Source organism: Homo sapiens, chromosome 8 (assembly GCF_000001405.40).
Source record: "Homo sapiens chromosome 8, GRCh38.p14 Primary Assembly".
Classification (NCBI taxonomy): domain Eukaryota; kingdom Metazoa; phylum Chordata; class Mammalia; order Primates; family Hominidae; genus Homo; species Homo sapiens.
The window spans coordinates 52,647,022-52,668,634 of NC_000008.11; the positions used below are offsets into that span (position 1 = coordinate 52,647,022).

General features: G+C 35.9%; 1 protein-coding gene across 19 annotated transcripts in view, besides 2 other annotated features; it reads right to left on the bottom strand.

The window, feature by feature from the left end:
* The window catches only part of RB1CC1 (RB1 inducible coiled-coil 1), a 91,978-nt gene that overhangs the window by 24,564 nt on the left and 45,801 nt on the right, over positions 1-21,613 (bottom strand). For 15 of the 19 annotated variants that reach the window (XM_017014109.2, XM_011517645.3, NM_001083617.2 and 12 more), the window contains 8 exons: positions 21,000-21,170; positions 14,514-14,698; positions 14,074-14,260; positions 13,905-13,986; positions 13,575-13,636; positions 11,852-11,955; positions 10,977-11,103; positions 8,987-10,887 (listed from right to left, as the gene is read on the bottom strand). In XM_017014109.2, coding sequence (XP_016869598.1) covers positions 8,987-10,887; positions 10,977-11,103; positions 11,852-11,955; positions 13,575-13,636; positions 13,905-13,986; positions 14,074-14,260; positions 14,514-14,698; positions 21,000-21,170 — 2,819 coding nt within the window. Of the gene's footprint in view, positions 1-2,015; positions 4,616-8,986; positions 10,888-10,976; positions 11,104-11,851; positions 11,956-13,574; positions 13,637-13,904; positions 13,987-14,073; positions 14,261-14,513; positions 14,699-20,999; positions 21,171-21,613 lie in introns of those variants that run through there. The other 4 variants (XR_928826.4, XM_011517649.4, XM_047422496.1 and 1 more) reach the window with 4 other exon arrangements.
* Positions 7,056-7,557: an enhancer, noted in NCBI's record as "OCT4-NANOG-H3K4me1 hESC enhancer chr8:53566637-53567138 (GRCh37/hg19 assembly coordinates)". NCBI's record gives its function as "activates a minimal SCP1, AML or CMV promoter by ChIP-STARR-seq in naive H9 embryonic stem cells {active_cell/tissue: H9 hESC(naive)}" and the evidence as "EXISTENCE:reporter gene assay evidence [ECO:0000049][PMID:30033119]".
* Positions 7,558-8,057: an enhancer, noted in NCBI's record as "OCT4-NANOG-H3K4me1 hESC enhancer chr8:53567139-53567638 (GRCh37/hg19 assembly coordinates)". NCBI's record gives its function as "activates a minimal SCP1, AML or CMV promoter by ChIP-STARR-seq in naive H9 embryonic stem cells {active_cell/tissue: H9 hESC(naive)}" and the evidence as "EXISTENCE:reporter gene assay evidence [ECO:0000049][PMID:30033119]".

Below are 21,613 nucleotides of genomic sequence, written 5' to 3' on the forward strand. Positions count from 1 at the left end.
GGTGTGTTCTGCAATTAATATGGGCATGTATTTAAAATGTTCACTCTACATGTTTCTTATGTAATTTCCTCATCTAATTATATGACAAGAATACACTATATCAATAATCATACAAAAAATTATTGGAATCCTTTTATTCATGCTTCCAAATTTCCTGATAAAAATCTAATAACTTAAACTTGCTGCTCAGATAACCTTTCCTCCAAAGGGATAGCTTTATACAGCCAAATGCAGAATATGCAGTTTGAAACATAATATCTCTATCAAAGTCTGAGACTCCTTACTTAGTTCCCAGAAAGGCTGGAATAGGAATCCCCTATTTCATAATATAGTTAATTAAAGGAAGGAATATATATTCCATAATATAATTAATTAAGGCGAAGGATTTACTTTTAAAGTTTCTCCTTTGGGGCTGAAGAAGAGGGGGATGTGCAAGTTTAAACTACTCCATGGCTGGAAAACTGACATACTACATAAATCAAAGGCTTACTAAGGAACACAAAGAGACTTACAAAGAGACTCAGACTACTAATAATGAAGTGCTTGGGATAAAAATAGGTATAGGCAGGGTTTACAAAGAATCCTGCTTGGCCGATTTCTTCCTTGAAGAAATCTCCACAGTTCTAAGGTAAGCTGAAACTTTTAGGAATAAAAAATAAGGCCAGGTTTTAAGGAGGAAATCAAGAGAGCACTGAGGTTGGAGATGTGAAGGACAGATAGTGAACAGTAAAGGTTATGAATTTTATTGCAAGTACCATATAAAGTCATTGAAAGGTTTGGTCTAGAGAATGATATCGTGTGAATCTAGGCTTTGAAAAGACTATTGTGAGAAAGGATATTAGTAAGAAATGTGGCACAGTAAAGAAGCCTGAAGGAGAGCTTTCAACATGATAAAGGATCCTAGAATTGTACTAGAAAAAGTGTGGTTCAAATTGTGCAAGAGAGGAAGGGGAGGCCATGCACAGGCAGTACTTATAATTTCTAGGTGTCCTGCATCTTTGGATTGCTTGGGGTACTCCATTTCAGGGTCAGTGCTGTGCTGAGATAATACAGGGACAAGAGGACACAGTTCCAGGTACACAAACAGATATAGACACCCCTGACACTCTCTGTAAACACCATATCCCCAAAACCAGAATAAGAACACTAGATGATTAGCATAGGGTATCTCATTTACTGACTCAAAGTAAAAGCAAAGATTGCACAGGTTATGACATGAAAAATAATCATTATCCTGTACTGAAGACAGGTTTCTTGTGGCTGTATTAATCCGGCCAAAAGTACATACTATGCCATATTGTTTGAAGCTCCCATTAGAAAATGTTCCAAGTGACTATCCGCCACACAACTTTAATTTTACATTACCCTAGGATCTGAAATGGCCCTGCTATCAGGGGAATTAACCCTAGCAATGAAAGGCTAACAGCTAAAATAGGTTTTGTGTTTTAACTAGCATCACTGCCTAGCTTTCTATGGGGAGCAAGAAGCTGTGTAGAGGGGAGGGAGGTCATGAAGAAAAGGTTACAGCGTATCACAGTTCAGTTAGAAAAATACAGTAGTCCCCCTTTACCCACAGGGAATATGTTCCGAGACCCCCAGTGGATGCCTGAAACTGTAGATAGTAACAAACCCTGTATTTTTTCCAATATATGCACTGTGGTCCTAACTTTTGCAGTTTGAGGTGTGATGGCAAAAAGAGAATGAATGGGCTCCTCCTGCACAGTTTCACAGATAGGTTGGGTCTTACTGTAGATCTTTGCAATCTCAGCATTTGATTTTTTTTCTTACTAAATCAAGAACTTTCATCTTTTCACTTAAACGAAGCACTTCAAGGCTTCTTTTTGGCATATCCAAATTGTCGACATCATTACTCTTGTGCTTTGGAGCCATTAAATAAAGGTTACTTGAACACAAGGACTGCAATACTGATAACCCAGATGGCTAACAAGTGACTAATGTGTGGAGAGTGCCCACAGTGTGGATACACTGGACAAATCATGCTACTCAAAACAGTGTCCAATTTAAAACTCAGGAATTGTTTATTTCATTTAATACTTTCGAACCATGGGGTAAGTGAAACCATAAGAGCGAAATCACATAAAACGAAACTAGACAAGAGGGAATGACTGTATTTAATCTAACAACACTACCACAGAAACCTAAGAAATTCATCAATAAAGGTTGTCCAACTAAAAGAAACTTGCATAATCCTGTCTTTGCATACCTGAATACTTTAAAGAGGCCTGGACATTGAAACTCAAGGAAGCAGATACATTTGTTACCAGCTGGGAACTTTAGTATCACGGAAACTTGAAAAAAGGCATCTCTAAAGGCTGACAGTTTTTCCCACCATTAAAATGTCAGTTCTAGCAAAGGACTGTATTATATCCAAATATTTCTAGCAACTAGAAAATTTACATTGAACATAAACTAGATTGTCTTGATGCTTGAACTCTTAACACTGACTGAATTAAAATGGGGCCTAGTAAACAATTAGTTCACTGTTTTTTCAAAAAAATCTCTTCTATCACTTGAACCCTGGAGGCAGAGGTGGCAGTAAGCCGAGATCATGCCACTGCACTCCAGCCTGGGCAACAGAGTGAGACTCCGTCTCAAAAAAATAATAAAATAAAAATCTCTTTTGAAATTAGAATTACAAAATTAAAATGCTCCCACCCATACTCACTCAGATCCACATCACTACTTCCTGGGAGCAAGGCCATCAATCATGTAGTAGGTAGATTTCCCAACCCACGCAAACCACATACACACGTTCCACTCTTATTTCTTTGTACAAAGGTACAGGAGAAAGCTTTCTCCTATATTTTCAAAACTAAACATTTCAAAACTAATATAAACTTTAATAATTCCAAATTAAATAGAAGATATTCTGATCTTGCATTTCCTTAATCACAAGTGGACCGAACAGTATCTACATGTTGGCCATTTGTATTTCTTCTTTGATCTCTTCATATCCTCTGTCCATTTTTCTAACAGATTATGTGCCTTTTTCTTATTGACTTACTGTGGGAGCTACAGACATAGCTAATATACATATCTTAGAAATGTTTCTCCTTGGCAGCTGGCCCCTCAGTGTTGCTTCTGGCATATGTAGAACCAAGTGGTGAAAGGGAAATATGCCGGACTGTGTGTCCTCACATAAGCATCTTTCTTCTTCAAAGGTTTCCTCTGCATGACAGAGAAGCCAGGGATATTATCCAGAATTCCCTCCTCGGTAGGTTCTATGTTTGAGATTGCCAATGCAAGATACCCACACCTGACCTGGGATGCTGAAGAGAGAGACTCTGGAGGTGGTTGTAGCCAAACATGTGGGCAATGTGAGATTCGTAAGAGACTTCCAAGTAAACCACCTGTTTGGGGGTCTTGGTAGACAACTGACGAAAGTCTTCAAAGAACTGTATCAGTTTCCTAAGCCACCAACTTTGGTGCTTCAGATGACTTTCTATTATAGATCTCTTGGCCTTCACCAGATTACTATCCAGTCTCCTAGTTCTCCCAACATTCATGTAAACTCTAAATCTAGTATTAATCCCTTTAATCCTGAAATATTTAAAAGTGGTTGTTTTATAAGCTCAATCCTGATACAAAAAAATGACTCTAGAGGAAAAAAAAATCCCATAAAACATGGAAACTGAGATTAATTCTCTGATCTGAAAGCAGTAATGACCTCAGTGCCAGTGCAAAATAGAACACTGGAAAACCAGGGCAGTACATGGCATAACAGTACACACTTGTAGTTGTTTGAAAAACCAGTGACTAAGGAAGGCAAGGCTTTGAGACATGTCCCAGCTGTGCCTCCAAATCCCACCAAACCTTCCTTCCTGGAAGCAACAGCCTTTTTCTACCTTGTCTGAGGAAATCAGTGTCCCTTCACTTGAGGTAGTCCTCTTCTCAATGAGATGATCCTTTTCAACAACCTCTCCCACCATTTAATTACTTCCATACTCATTGCTACACTCAAATTGCCAGATCTCTGGAGAGTTAAAAATCTAACAAAGAAGGAATTGCAAAGCAATTACAGAATCTTTAATATATTTTGGCAGAAAAATGGAAAATACATATGGGAATAGATCTAATGACAGTTACAAGAGGAGGGACAATGTGGAGTGAGGCCAAAATTATTTATACGGGTGTAATGACCACAGATTCCAGACTCAATATTGGCTATTAACACTTTGCCAAGTTGACTGCCTGGAAAGTAGACTTAAGAATAACCAACATTAAATGAAAATGAGATGGCAAAATGAGATACTCTAGATCAAGGGCAGGTAAATCCAATCCGCTTTTTTGCGGAACACAGCCAAAACCATTCATTTATATAGTCTCACTGCTGTCTTGCTAAAATGGTACAGTTGGGTAGTTTGGATAGAGGCCATTTGGCCCACAAAACTTAAACTACTTACTATCTGGGCCTTTATAAAAGTTTGCCAACCATTTCTTTAGGCTAATGATTCCCAAAGAGTGATCCATAGAAGCCTGGGGTTAACCAAACACATTCAGAGGACAAGTGAAGTCAGAACTGTTTTCATAGTAACACCAAGTGTTGCCTTTTTCACCTTGTTGATATTGGCACTGATGATCAAACTGCTGGTACCTGAACACAAATTAAAGCCATTAGCACCAAACTTTACTTGTAGTCGTTTTCTTTCACCACAAAGCACTCAAAGTGGGGAGGAAAAAGGGGAGGCTGTTTTTTCTTAGAATATTCTTGAATAGTAAAAACTACTAGCTCTAAAATATGTTAACATTTGGAAGATCTGCATTAACTCCGTGAACTCGTGTTTTCCAAATGACCAACTCATGACGCTATAAAATCATGCATGAGTAAAAAAGTACAAGAGATGTACCAATAAATGTTAAGATTATGAGAAAATCCACTAATAGCTGCATATTCCACAATAAAAACTAATGTTCAGAAATTACCACTTGCTGAATTTTGATTTAGTAACAAAGAAGAATATCGACAATCATCTGAAAAGGCTATTTAAATATTCCTTTCCTTTTCCAATTGCATTCAGCATAAGGTTGGATTTTTTTTCATATACTTCAATCAAAACTTAAGAGATTTGCAAATACATAGAACAATGGTACTCTTCTAACTAGTTTTCATTTCAGAAAGTTTTTATTAAAAAATCTTATGTATGGCCAAGCATGGTGGCTCACGCCTGTAATCCCAGCACTTGGGAGGCCGAGGTGGGCAGATCACAAGGTCAGGAGATCGAGACCATCCTGGCTAACATGGCGAAACCCCATCTCTACTAAAAATACAACAAATTAGCTGGGCGTGGTGTCACGCACCTGTAGTCCCAGCTACTCGGGAGGCTGAGGCAGGAGAATCACTTGAACCTGGGAGGTTGCAGTGAGCCGTGATTGCGCCACTGCACTCCAGCCTGGGCATCAGAGCAAGACTCTGTCTCAAAAAAAAAAAAAAAAAAAAGTCTTATGTATGCCACCATGTAATGAGGTTATTTGAAAATGACTAAGTTTCAATTTCTTGCCATTAATTTTTAGTACAGAAATACTGACATAATCCCTATGAACAAAATCAGTCTGGAGTCAATTTTTGAGAGCGTAAAAAGATACTGTGACAGAAGTTAGAGAGCCACTGTTCTTGTTTTTCACATATTTAAAAGATGGTAAACACGCATGCACACAGATTATATGAATAAGTCTGTGTGTGACCTGCAAATGCTAAAATTTTTACTATCTGGACCTTTAAAAAACAAGTTTGCTGGCCAGGCGTGGTGGCTCATGCCTATAATCCCAGCACTTTGGGAGGCTGAGGCAGGTGGATCACCTGAGGTCAGGAGTTCGAGACCAGCCTGACCAACATGGAGAAACCCTGTCTCTACTAAAAATACAAAATTAGCCAGGCGTGGTGGTACATGCCTATAATCCCAGCTACTCAGGAGGCTGAGGCAGGAGAATTGCTTGAACTTGGGAGGCAGAGGTTGTGGTGAAGAGAGATCACGCCACTGCACTCCAGCCTGGGTAACAAGAGCGAAACTCCGTCTCAAAAAACAAACAAACAAAAAACAAACAAAAAAACAAGTTTGCTGACTCCTGATCTACAAGGAAGGCATCCAAAGGCAGGTATACTGGAAGGGATTTATTACTTATACCCTCAGAGGTCCCAGAGAATATGTTCTTTACCAAGGCTTTGCAAAATACAAGCTTAAAAGGCTCTGTAGTGGTGCTCTGCAGGAAACAGCAGAGGGAGATGAGAACACTGAAATTCAATGAATTTAATGGGAATGACAGGCTTCTGGAGTGGCAGAGGCCAGTTAGTGGCACTTCACCACCAGAAACATAATGTGGCTCTATCACAAGCAACAGAGCCAGAGCAGTAATTAGAAGGTTTTGACCCAGAGAAATCTGTGGTAGTGGTTGTCCGTAGGCCCTAATAGAATGAACCGGTTAAAGACCTACTAAAACTGTAAAAACAAGACAAAACAGAAAACTCTAGATCTAGTATTCAGAGGCTTAACTTACCAAGAGAATTCTAACCTTCACCCAAACACTGGCTCTGAGAAGACTGAAGTGACTGTGGTCCACTAGGAGGAGGAGATTATTGGTGCTCATGTGACAGAGTTTGGGCCCAATGGTTCCCTCATCGAGACAGGAACAAGCTGAATAACCCTTATCGGAAATGCTTGGCAGCAGAAGTGGTCTGAATTTCAGATTCTGGAATATTTGCATTATATTTACCAGCTGAATATCTCAAATGTTGAAAATCCAAAATCCAAAATGATCCAATGAGCATTTCCTTTAAGCATCATGTCAGGGCTCAAAAAGTTTCAGATTTTGGAGCATGTTGGATTTGGGATACTCACCCTGTACATCCTTAGATCCAGAATCGTTACTGGAATAGACAGAAGAAACTGGCAGAATCCCCATGTTGCTTCCCTTACTCGTGGAACAAGGACTATTATGGTAGAAAAGGCCAAGTAAAATTCCTAAAACTCTCACTTCACGACACAGGGGAGGGAGGTTTCTACCATGTTCTTATTCAACATTAAGTATGTGTCCTGTCCAGAAGACATGGAGACAAACAATGGATTTTAATGAATTTCTTCAGGTGGTGTCTTCAATCCAACTGCTGTTTCCTATTTTAAGTGTCTTTATTTGGAAGCTCAATATGGGCAAAAGACATTTATCTGTCTAAATGCTGAGTTTTAAATGGGGTATAAAGTGCTGGACTGTCTAGTATTCCATAGGCTTTGCCCTTGCTCCTCTTTTATGATCTCATATGCACTGCAATACAGAGATCCAACATTTCCCAAAATCCCAGGTATAGCTTCCAGTTTGCCAATGAAAAGAAGATGTGCAAGGTTTTGGAAGGCAGAAAAGCAGCACAGGTTTATTCTCCAGAGGTGGCTGTAGCCAGATGCAGTTTCACAGTAGCTTCCTGGCAAGTAACTGAGAACTATCCATTTTGTGATGCAGATTGAGTCAGACTGGTGCTTTGAAGAGATTCTTGAATCTTGTAGCAGCTTCCCAGTGAGCCATGGAGAACCATCAGCTTTCATGGGTGCTTCAGCCTCTGTTTTCCTCTTATTTCACTTTGAGCTTGAAAAGGGCTCTCCTGAACTAAACTTCAATCAGGCTCCTCTAGGCTTCGACCTTGACATCTATTCTTCTTGGGCCTACGCTGTCCAGCTGTATCAAGTGTCTTGCTAACTCAGTTTAGAGAGTATCTCTCCATCAATATCTGAACAAATTATCGTCCCCACCCTTGGTATTTTATTGCCCTGGCCTGCCTTCAGTAAGAATCCTGTTAGATCAATTTAACCAAAATTCCCCTTATTCCTTATGTTTCCTCTTAGTAATTTTCCATCCACTGACCCCTACCCTCCTTAGCTATAAATCTCAACTTGTTCATGCTGTATTCAGAATTGAGCCTAGTTCTATAATGAGGTCTATTTTCCATACTGCAATAGTGTCTGAATATAATCTGTTTTTACTGCTTTAAGTACTGTCCATCTCTGATTCTCTTTGACAAGCTCTCCTGGCCTTTGGCAGTGACTCTGTTAACCTTCTCTCATCCAGCTTTTAAACATACATGCAAACCCTAATTCCTCTATTAAACCCTCTAATGCCCCCTCCCCCAGAATACCTAAAGAGCTTCTAATTTTAAGCCAAAAGGGGAGGTTTAACAGTATACCAATATATGAGTATTATAGAGCAGACAATCACAAGAGATTGTATAAAAGTGATAAGGCAAGACACAGGTTGAAATATATATGTATTCACTTGGAGAATTCATGATAGAATGAATTGACATATTAATTATGTTCTAGAAACTGTTTACTGGGTCACAAAACCCAATTAAACCCAGATTAAAAGTAAAAATACTAAAAACCATCTTCTGTGATCAAAAGGCAGTAATATCAGACAGTAACAATAATAAACATGTAAAAACACCACCAATCCACAACCACAGTATCAAACCTGCAGTTTAAAAACATCTTTCAAGCACAGAGGAAATAACTGAAACTGTATTAAGAAAATAACAATAAGGAACACTCTACATGTTCCTATGATTTAGCCTTTAGTAAACAATATACAGAACAAAATTTTAGTCTTTAATATATATACTAAATTTAAAGAGAATATAAGTAATTTTCTACTGAAGAGTTTAGAAAAAAACTGCAAATAAATCAAGAGAGAAACTTATGAATTAAAAAAGGAAAAACAAAGAGCTCTTTAAAACATTTCAAACTTTCAACAAAAAATTTCTCTGAAAATCCAAACTGCTGATTCATTTTTTAAAAGCCACTCATGGATTTAGTCTGTTATTTCTGTTTGCAAGAAACACTGACTAAAAAGTAAGTTTTTACTTCATGAAAATACCCTAGTTGCTACATTTACCCAAGGTAAATGAGTAAATCAAGGTACTGTGATTACACACAAACGAATCACTGATATTTTAATTTTATAATTACAGACTAAACTTAATTCTTACCTTTTTGCTATTTGATTCTCAAGATGTTTAACTTTTTCTAATAACTCTTTCTCAACAACTTCTCTCTCCAATTTAAATTCTTTTAGGGCAGTCTGAATAGCTTCATCTTTTTCACAATTAAGCTTCTGAATTAACTGTTCTCTGTCTTGCTCCTGGCTGCTGACCAATTTTTGTCTGTCTTTCTCAAGGTTCTGGATAATAGCTTCGTATTTCTCTTCTTGTTGGGTAATTTTTTCATCTTTTTGTCTTTCAAGAGCACTCAATTCTGAATCCAATTTACTCTGCAGTTCAATTATTTGTTCTTTTAGGTTTTTTTCTATTTCAAATGCTTGGTTATGCAAAGATGTTACTTTGTTTAATTCAGCTTTAAGTATATTAGATTCTTCTTCATGTCTACTAATTAACTCGGAAATACACTGATCTTTTTCAATTGTCATTAAAGTTCTTAGCTCTGCTAAGCCCACCTGATAATTTTCATTATTATCCTGAATCTTTTGGTTGAGTTTACTAATTTCTGTTCTCAAATTTTCTGTCTCTTGTTCAAGAAGAGATTTCAAGGTCTCCTTCTGCTGGGCTCTGCTTTCTTCCAGCAAAATTTTTATTTCATCAGTTTCTGCTTCCTTCAACGCAAGTTCAACCTCTAACTTGCATCTCGTGTCTGACAAATCAGAAACCTTGAGTTTTAATTCCTGTAACTGTTTTTCTTTTTCCTGGATAATTTCAGCATGAGATTCTTGTATTTGATTAATTATTTGTTGGTTTTCCTTTTTTAATTCCTCCAAAGAAACTCTGTGGTCTGTCATAACCTTCTCAAACTCTTGTATGTGCCTAACCTGAAGTGTGTCCTCTAATTCCTTTAGATGACTTTGCTCCAAGGACTGAAGTTCTGCCCTCAATAACTGTAACTTCTCATCATTTTCAACATGGAGCTTTTTTAAGTCTTCTAACACTATTTCTCGTGACTGCTTCAGTTCTTTAATTTCACAATTTTGAGAGTGCATTATATTTTCCATCTCTAACAACTTCTGATCCTTTTCATTCTGCAGGCAGATTACAGCTTCTTTTTCATGTTTAACCAAAGCAAATTCATTATCTTTATTTTGTAAAACCTCCTCAAGGCATACTAACTCTCCCTTCAATTTTTTAATTTTGTTTTCATTCTCTTCAGTTTCCTTTATTAGTCCGTCAAGTTTACCTTCATATTCATTTTTTAAAGACAGTAGTTCTTTTTGATGTTTTTCTTTTAGTGTTATTTCCAGAGAACATTTTACTTTTTCAATAATGTTTCTTATTTCTACTGCTGTACATTTTAATGAATTTGAGAAGTCACACTGTTCTTTTTGTACAAATGTTCTAAAGTGGCAAAGGTCTTCCTTAATGGTTTGTATACTGAAGTGAGAGTCTTGGGCAACAACTCTACATCTTTCCAACTGGACATTCAGAGAAGTATGATCTCCAAAATCCTCCTTACCACATACATTTGTATCCTGCATTCGTCTACTGTCTATCGCATTGATAACTGATGAATAAAGTGATTCCACCATCATTTCTGGGCTTTGTGGATCACTTATAGGATTAGGAGACGACAAATTTTCTTCTATTACAAACTCATTCACAGCAGACATAAAATCTGATTCAGGACTTTCTGCTAATGAATCCAAGTCTAAAGAAACTTGGTGAATAGTCTGTTCTATGTTTGGATGGGGAATAGTTTCAAAATCAAACGTATGTGCATCAATACTATCTGGAGATAATTCTTCTAAGGGACAAACTGCAGGACATAAGGGATCCTGAACAGTCAGTGGTGGAGGAGTTCTCGGTGAGGTAGTAGTTGTAATTCCTGCTGTACTTTCCATCCTTGGTGAAGAAGCAGACTGTGGGGATGTCTGACTCACAGATGCCTGGAAAACAGAAAGAAAGGCTTAAAGAGCTGCAGGAACACAAACATTTTACACTAATGAAGAAAACTGTTTGAAAGAATTGAATTTGCCTTTTGTTCACTCAGTAGATCTGTAATGGTCTGTGACATTTCATCCAAACTTTGTGCTGCTTTTACCAAATTATGTAGAGCAAGTACATGCTGGTGTAGAGGTTCAAAGTCACAAAGTAAGGGAACCCTGAAACAGAATGCAATGCAATTAGACTTCTGATTTTTTAATGAACTAGTAGATAACTGCTACCAAATATTTTAATATGTCAAAAATAACAAGAGCCTTATCATTCCTTTTTAAATTAATACCAGAAGTATTTTAAGAAGTTTGTGTCATAATCAGTAAAGTAAAAACTTAGGGCCGGGCGTGGTGGATCACACCTATAATCCAAGCACTTTGGGAGGCCTAGGCGGGTGGATCATGAGGTCAGGAGTTCGAGACCAGCCTGGCCAACATGGTGAAACCACATCTCTACTAAAAATACAAAAATTAGCAGGGCATGGTGGTGGGCTCCTGTAATCCCAGCTACTCAGGAGGCTGAGGCAGGAGAACTGCTGGAACATGGGAGGTGAAGGTTGCAGTGAGCCAGTATCACACCATTGCACTCCAGCCTGGGCGAGAGAGCGAGACTCCGTCTCAAGAAAAAAAAAAAAAAAAAAAAAAGTAAAAAGTCAGAAATTTCCCAACAGCATGCAAAAAGTAACTACTAGAAAAAAATAATTACATGTAAGGCATGTCTTCCTTTACTTTACCTTCATTTTCCATCATTTTTTATTCCCCAGAAATTTCTCAAAGCAGTCACAGGAAAGCCAGTCTATCTTAAATATTTCTTATCTTGGCACCTCTTAAGATTACTGGTACTACCTGGCACAACTCCAGAATAATAAAAACATTTTAAGGTTATAAATTAACTGAAAATACTAATGACATTTACCTGAGGAATGGCTGAACTTCCGAAGGACAAAATGATTGCAGAAACTGTAAATCTTTTAATGAAATATCTGGAAGTTCACAGTCAAACTTTCGAGGCTTTTGAGTCTGTACCAAAAAAATTAATTACTTAAAAAATTTTTTTTCAACCAAAAACAGACAGCAAATTTATATGATTTCTTACTATAATTAAATTTACTATACCAAACAAACTAAAGTGCTTTAAATGATTAAGAAACAAAAAAAGACCATTCAATAAAGATATGGCATATTATTTTCCTGAGCCTTTAGTAAACTGCGACGTGAACTGCTAGTGATCAAGGGATGCACTTGTTCCTCCCCTTCTCTGCTTTTAGCATCATTTTATGGGAATTACAATATTCCTATCCTGTATGTGTATGTATGTACATATACATATGGTAAACACATATGTAAGTGTGTGCGTATATATATAATATTTACCATGTTAAAGCCACTAATATATTAAAATGCACACATGTATTTTTTTTCCATGTAACACTTTCTTATTTGCTTTTGCCTTGACTTTTCCATTACATTTTCCAGAAGACAAAGTTTTGGTCAATTTTAGCTTCTGTAAAAAATATTAACCGGTAAATCCTACCAATTCATTATTTATAAAATTGCCAAGAGTTGCATTAAAAAAAAACTTGTTTTAAATCATTACTCAAGCAGATGTGGAGATGCCAAGATGCTCTTCATAAAAAAGAGTTCTCGGATAAATAAGTATGGGAATCGCTATGTCACCAATTCTTATGTATTAAAAAATGCATACATTTAAAACACTAAGAAATCCTGCAGTATAGAAACATGTTTAACAGCTAAGCATGGCTGGGCGTGGTGGCTCACGCCTGTAACCTGAACAATTTGGGAGGCCAAGGTGGGCAGAACACTTGGGGCCAGGAGTTTGAGACCAGCTGGCCAACACGGTGAAACCCCGTCTCTACTAAAATACAAAAACTTAGCTGGATGTGGTGGCAGGCACCTCTAGTCCCAGCTACTTGGGAGGCTGAGGCACAAGAACAGCTTGAACCCAGGAGGCTGAGGTTGCAGTGAGATGAGATTGTGCCACTGCACTCCAGCCTGGACAACAGAGCAAGACTCTTGTCTCCAAAACAACAACAACACAGCTAAGAGTACATCTGATGGGGGTAAAAGCCCCCATATTGCTTTGATCATGGAAACGTTTCTTCTCATGTAATACAATTAATGACCCCAGATAACAATGGTTTAGAAACATATCAAACTAACGTTTAATTCCAGTGAAGTCTAACTGAGGCTTTATTATTCTGATTTGTCAAAATATAAAGGGGGGTGGTGTGAAAAGAAATATAGAAGGGCAAGGAGGAGGTGGAGGCTGTAAAGGAGGAGGGAGGGAGAAGAGCAGTGGAAGAAAGAAGAGGGAAGGGTGGAAAGAAAAAAAGGAAGAGACAAGAAAACAAAAAAACCAAGTGAATCTATTTCTACCAATCCTAACAGTGCAGTATAAGGTATCTTCCTGTGTTATGAAGATTCTTTATAAAAAATTATGAATACAAATATCAATCTTAAAGCTTTATGCTAACTGGCTTTTAAAGCCAAAAACACTTTTATTTTGATTTTTTTTAAACCACAACAATTTCTGCAAGTTTCTGATAAATGTCTCTACTTCTGGAAAAAAGGTTTTAAAACATATGGAATTTAGTCATGGTTAGAAAATAAATACATACACAAAAGGAAGGGGGCCAGGAGTCCAGTCCCCTAAACAGACGATTTCTTAAAAAAGACTTCCCTGTATAAAGAAATTAACAATATGGTTATTTTAGAGCTTTATTTAAGGCAAAAAATTATCTCTGGTTTTTGAAAAGGTAAATTAAAAGTTGACAGTACTTCAAGTTTAAAATTTAACAATGGATTCAATTCTATACACTTTAAAAGGAATATTTCCTAGATATCAATGGCAATTAACAGCATATACATGAAGTATGCTACAGAAAATCCAAGCTTATAAAAACTTTTATCCTTTACAAAAGTAATTAAAATTATTAATGAACACTTACTAAATAATTTCCCAAAGGATTCCCTTTTTGATTTTTCTGCTTCATATAATCTCTTTCCATCTTTGACTAAAGCACCAGCCCACTAGAAGAGGAAAGCTTATGTTAAACATAAACATACACCAATTCGTTAAAGTTCATATACAGTTAAAATAGAATTCAACTTGCATACCTCCCTGTAGTGTTTTATGAACATTTTTCTTCTTACAACCTCAACAACAGCTAAGCAGTACATCTGAGGAACTGTACTAAGAGCTTCAACAATTTTGACTCTTTCTAACAGCTCTATTACGAGGCGGAGCAAAGCTTGTAACTTCTCTCCATCTTGATCAGCATGAAGCATTACAAAGCAACACCACCTAGAGAATAAAATCCATTATTTTCAACATTCACAAAACTGGTACTAACTTAGTTACTTACTTAGTAAGCTTACTAACTTAGTTAAGCCAAAGAAATCAAGATATATAAGCTCTACAAAAATAGTCTAATTCCAAAGTTCATCAATAAGGTATTTCAATAAAATGGTAGGGAAAAATCACTCCATCATTTGGGAGAAATAAATATAAATACCAATTCTAAACATCTTAAAACAGATATAAATGAATCACTTACTTCAGTCTGACATGTAGGTTATTTGCTAGTTCTTGTTTGGCAGTGGTACACTTCTGCTTAATATCTAACAGTTTTCTATGATTTTGCAACATAATCATCAACTGATTTGCGTGACTCAGGCATAAATCAGGTAATACAGATGCATCCTTTAAGTTTTCAGCTCTCTTCTGATTAGCTAAAAATCCCTTTGAGAAAAAAAATGTTTCAAAGGACATTAATTTTGTTTCATGAAAGGTATGGACATTCAGTTAAGTGGAAAATCTTTATGTTAAACACAACCCGTTTTGTGCCTTCTAACAATATTTTTAAATCCTCTATTTTTCTCGAATGTAGTAGATGCATAAATGGCACAAGACCTAGAATTTTTAAGAATCCTATGCTCATCTTTAATTTTTCAAACTAGAAGAAAATAAAGGCTAGAAAGATAAAGCCCCTTAGCCAAGGACATACTTAATAGTCAATGAGAATTAGAAGCTATGTGTCTAGAATCCTATAACACTATCGGTCAGTCACAGCACAAACAAAACAAGGTCACTGAAAAACAATAAGGGATTTAATCTAGCAAACATTATACAGTAGTATATTAGACACTTTCCCAAATATAAAAATAATAAAATGCCCTTAAAATATTTATCGAAAAGTCACTGCCCTCTCCAGTTATCTCTGGACTATATTTTGTTCCACTGATCTGTGCTCCCATTGCTAGGACAATGACTGAATTGTGTGATTTTACACAGAGTTTATACTTTATTATTTGGTAGAAAAACATTTTTTCTGTTTTTCTTAACTGTCCTTACTCATTTGTTTTTGTAGGTGAACGGTGTATCTGTCAAGTAGGGATTAAGTTACTAATTAATTTAGATAGATCTGCCATAATCTTCCTTCATTTATCTCTCAAGTATATTTAGTTTTCTTTATATGTGGTCCAAAGATAACTTAATAAGGTTATTACTACATACTTTATTGCTACCACAAAGTTTTTTCCTATGCTATATACCAAGTGGCTTATATGTAATAATGTTGTAGGTTTTGTACATCCATCTGATTGCTGTATTGATACTGTAAATAAATCATTATCCTTCTAGGAACTTAACTTTATGACCAGCTAAAGGACAAGTGTGTCTTCCAATTTTCTGGTAGTTCTCTGTTTCATGTTTTCCTAAATATCATGACATTTAGATTTGAATGATATATACTGAAGTCAAACTGGTTCAATATCTGAAAGGAAGACAATTTTCATAGTAACTGTATGCCTTTTTTTTCCCTTTCAATATACTCTTTGGTTAACTGCAACTATAATTTTTCTATAATGTAATCTATTAAAAAACAATTTGCTACTTTTAACTCCTTTCGCAAAGTCTGGTTTTCAATTACTTTTTATTGAATCCATGAAAAATATAGAATCAATCCCAAATTTAAATTCTAGACCATTAGTAAAGGATTTCCTGACACCAAAAGCATGTAAGTACTGTATTGCTAAAAGAAGGAAAAAATAAAGTTTTTCAATAAATTGAATTTCATATTTGCTCAACCATACTCAATATAATTCAGACTAAATAGAAAAAATCCTCATAAATCATCTAGTACTAATTCATTACTAATATTTTTACACGCAAATAAGGTTTGACAGCTACATGAGCTACATGATAGCACTGTAGTACTCACAATCGTGTTCCAGATGCATTCAGCCAAATTTGGTTCAGGAAGAAAACTCCCTGATATTTCCTAATTTTGCTGATAACCCTCAAGGATACGAATGGCTAGAGAATGAATATTCAGGGCTCCAGTGTTACACAGCTTCATAGGTTTGGTGAGTGAGGTTTTTTTTTTTGCCAAAACCATGTAGAAGGGTCTACAACAATCCTCATAAATGTTGTGGTTTTAAGAAATTACCCCTTCAAAGGCATTTGAAATGGTCTCTATCTTATGAGATGTTCAGGCAATAAATAATAAATCCCTTTCCACAATTTCTTTTCCCTTTTAATTGGGAGTGGTTTTAAGTTTTAATTGCTATGTAGCTAGAATGTATTATACTACGTTGTAAATGTGTTTAGCAAGATGTAAAATCAACTCCTAAAATTGGATAATCTGAATTTATCTACTTTTCACCAAACACATTCTAAAGGAAGTACTGACAAACTATCTGCAACAGGGAAATACCATTAGCAGCAACAAAAGTAACTGATGAGACATCTGTAAATAAAAATTCCAGACCAGCCAAAGACTAGATAGAATTGTGACATTTCTCAAATTCAAAAAAACACAAATCCAAATTCTCATTTTATTAAGTATTGATGTGTTCCTACTATGTATGTATCAGGAATGTGTGGTAAGACCTTGTAGATAAAGCAATGGAAGATAGAGTAGTGTCCTGCCTCCTTGGAGCTTATATTCTGGGAAGAGACTGTATTAAACAGCATGTAATTAATAATTACAACTGTGGTACAGGATAAGTACAGCATACTAAGAGAAAATGAACCTGATGATGTGACCAAGACTTCAAGATCAGGAAAGTTTGGCTGAGGAAGTGATGCTTCTGCTAAAACCTTGACTCTGTACATCCCTTGGCGGCAGCCAAATACATGACAATATAGGTGTGAAAAGTTGTCTCACTCACCATATACCTCCTAGCTTCAACTGGGTATCCCTTTTCTCTAATGAGCTCACTGAAAATAATCTTATTAAACTGAATCCTATCACATTCAGATTCATTCAGGCACACTCAATTGAAAACTGTCTACCTTGGGGTCTATATTTCTGTCTTAAATTTTGCTCCCAATATACAACCAGACAATGTAGATGACTTCTTATGAATACTTAGGAGTACCAAAAAATATCCATTGGAGAACTTAAATAATTAAATATTTAATTGTCTCGAAATGTTTAAAAGGACTATACCACTCAGGTATCGAAGAAAGAAAAGATATTTTCTAAAAGTAACAATATTACCTATAGTATTCTTTTGGTATATTCCATGAGCTACCATAGTTTAAAACAATAGCAAAATACTACAAATAAATTAGGGGGAATGAAGATGTTGAAAGAGGATGCTCTATGAGCACAAGACAACAAAAACTAATTTTGTAATATCCATAGGAACAGCATAAGAAATTTTCACTGAATTTTACTTCAGTTTGGATTCAGGGAGGTTAAATGGTCAGATTTAGAAAGCAAACAAGAAAAGCTCAAATCGCAAATAATGCATTCTTCCATTTTGAGAAAACAGTATTATCACCCCAACCATACTCCCAGAAAAAGACTTTTCCTTGTATGACAAAACTCCATTTGCTGAAACCAAGTAGACTTGAGGGCAATATCAGCAATAAATATCTTTTTATATTACTAACAAATATAAAACCATCCAATGTACCTGCCTGATTGACTGTTCAAGTGATATAAAGCAGGAGGACTAATAGCAATATTTTAATATACTGAGAGATTAAGGGGAGCAAAGAAAAAGTAGAGAGAGAAAAATCGAGTGTCTAAGGTAAGATAATTGAAAGCCCTAGTTTATTCAATCTGAGAAACAGTTATAAAGAAATCTAGACGATTTTATAGAATGATGGGTTCATAAAATTTAATATGAATAAATATACGAATGAATTTGACTGCATCAAAATTTAAAGCTTCTGTTTTTCGATCCAGATAAATTATCAACAGAGACAATATCTGTATGATCTATAATAGACAAAGAACTATCTAGACAATATATGATAAATTCTAACAAAAACATGAAAAAGAAAATGTGGCGAATGACAATTCAGAGTAAATACATGGCAAACGCTGAAAACAGAGAAATTACTCTTCTTACTTACTGGAAGTGTTGACTGATTTTGCTTCTATGGCAGGCATTAGAACATTATTAATTAATATTTAAAATGAACAAAGACCTTAATCCAACAATCCCATTATTGAAGATTGTGCCTAAAGAAATACTAGAACATGCATGTAAAAATGGGTGTATTGAGATACTCAATGAATATTTCTAATATGGAAAAACTGAAACAAACTAAATAATCACCAAAAGAAGTATGGTTAAATAAATTTTGTTTGATTCATTCTATGGAAGTTAAAAAACAACTACACTGCAGAAGAAGCAAAAGATCAGGAATGCAGAGTTCTGTCTCTAGTAATGGTAGCCTGTAATGTCAACAAGCTCCCTGTGGCTCTAGGAAAGCAGTGAAGAAGCCAGGCACAGTGAAAGGGCTAGGATCCAGGAGAAGAACGAAACCAAGAGAGAGAAATTAGGTGACTAGGAATGCCATTTGCTCTGAAGAATTCTGCTGATTCTTGAAGAGGAGTCCAAAATTAAAAATAAGTAGTCAGCAGTCCTGACTTCCCTGAAGAGCTAGAAAATTAAAAGTTGAAGACCAGAGCCAGCCAAGGGAAGGTACAATGGAACAGTTTATTTGCGTTCAGATCCTTAAAACCTATATCCTATGATTAGGGGTAAACTAAAAGTAGAATGGCCATCCCAAGAACTAGAATACCAATGTCCAATCATCCAAATCTCTGAAACTGAACTAAAGTAATTTACGATGGTAACTGCCCAAAGCACATACCAAAAGCAAACATAAATTATCTGCAGAAGAAAACGTTATCCTAGGCCTCACAATATTTCTTTGATTTTTCTTATTAAAAAAAAAATCAGGTACATGAAAAGGCAAGACCATAAGAGTGAGAATTATAAGAAACACCACCAAATATACGGCTGGGCGCCGTGGCTCACACCTGTAATCCCAGCACTTTTGGAGGCCGAGGCAGGCCTGAGGTTAGGAATTTGAGACCAGCCTGACCAACATGGAAAAACCCTGTCTCCACTAAAAATACAAAATTAACCAGGCGTGGTGGTGCATGCCTGTAATCCCAGCTACTTCGGAGACTGAGGCAAAAGAATCGCTTGCACCCAGGAGGCAGACGTTGCAGTGAGACGAGATAGCGCCACTGCACTCTAGTCTGGGCTACAAGAGCGAAACTTCCTCTCAAAAAAAAAAAAAAGAAAGAAAGAAAGAAACACCACCAAATATAAACAGACACACAGGAACAGGCAATACAGTGAACAGATACAGACTTTTAAACTGCTATGTGCTTAATGTGATCAAAGAGATGATGAATGGCTAAGACTAAATATTTGGGTAGAGAATATGAAACTATATACAAAAGAACCAAACTGAAACTGTAGAGCTGAAAAATGAACAAAATTAAGAAATGAGCAAGTGGTTAGCTACAGTTAGCCACTAAAAAAAGAGAAAAAGTTAAAATGTAGGTTAAAGGAAAATATCTAGAATGAAGCACAGATAGATAAAAAGAAAGAAAATACAGGAAACAAGTGTAAATGAAACGGATATGGTGAAAGGTCTAACACGTCTAACTGGAATCACTGAAAGAGAAGGAAAAGCAAGTGAGGGAAAAGCAAGATCTGAAGAGAAACTGACTCAGATTTTTCCCAAATGGTATAAGTCATTAAACCACAGATTCAAGATGCACTACAAGCCCAAAGTAGGATAAATACAAAGAATGCCACATCTTGGCACCTCATACTAAAATTGCTAAAAACCAAACAGAAGGAAAAGACCAAAAGTAAAATGCTAACAACCCAGAATTTTAAATGAACCAGGTAAAAATATCCTCCAGAAATCAAGGTGATTTAAGAGATTTTCAAACAACAAAATTGAACTTATCACTAAAAGGAAATACTAAAGGACATTCTAATTTATATCAGCCTTAACTATAACATCAACGAAGTATGTTTTGCCTTAAAAAAAAGGAAAAGTTAATATGGGGGATGTAATTATTTATATGTTCCAATGAAAGAACACAATTAGAGGAAAAATATTGGCAAGGAAAATTAAACTAGAAAAACAGCTGTCAGAATCTGATTATGACATTCAACTATTCAGCTATGGGTGGTTTTGCCACAATGCTAGCCATGGTGGGTGAAGGACAGGCAATCATGAATTTAAGAGAGGCACTGGTTTGCTTAGAAACGTCCACATTTACCACTCTTACTTAGCCATTCCATCACCTTCCTTTGGTTTAAAATCCACTTTTTCAACAGTTCTAGGATTATGGCATTAAATCAGATCTAAAACCTAGGTATTACTATTAGAAGTATTAGTAAATTCTTCAAGATTTCGTATTCTCCTATTCTTAAAAAATTTCATTTCTTATCCTTCGTCCTATGGGGGGTAGTAGGAAGCATTGAAATTTTTAGCACAATAACTGATATGATCATCTGCTTTCAACATATCAAAAAATGTTGATTTCTGCCCCCAGCTTCAAGTAGCAGTTTCATGGTTTATCTATAGGAAACTCAATCATTAAGAACATGCTTTTCTGTTTTATTACAAGGAAACAATATTAATACATTAAAAATATTCAAGGAAAAAGTGAAAATATGGTGCACACCAAATTGATACTGCATATAAAACATGTGTACAAAAAAACTATAAATTCCTTTTCCTGAGAAAAGTCTAAAATAGGTACCTGAGCAAGCTCTTTCTGTTCATTCACCAGTCGGCCACAGCTAGCAATCATCTGGTCCAGGGCGTAGAGCCGATCTTCAAGTCCTTTAATGGCTTTCATATTCTGATTATCAAGTTTGGCAATAGTTTGACGGCATTCTGCTATAAATGGTCGAATAATCCTTGGATCAAGCTAAATGACAAGGAAACACATACGAATACAATTTTCAGCAAATAGTTTAAAATGTATTTCATGCTATTCTGACATACAGCTTGAGAGAAAATAAGTGATAAAAGATATAAAAAAGCAAAAGCATGGGAACTCTAAGTTATACTTTCATAAGAAGGTCAAGTACAGGATAAATATCCTTGACAACACTGAATTTACACTAGAATACATAATTAGGAATACATTTTCAAGAATCACACATTTCAATCAGTGCTACAATTTAATCACTTGTCAATATCTCTCAGAAAAAGGTATTTTCAATGTCAGCATAATATCATTAATTCTCTTATCAATGCAACTTCTCTTTAAAACATATAAACTTCTTCGGCAAATTTATCTCCCTCCTGGAGATAGAAGATAAAACTTCCTTATTCTCTATTTCTATCTCCTCAACGAATCGGCTTGCT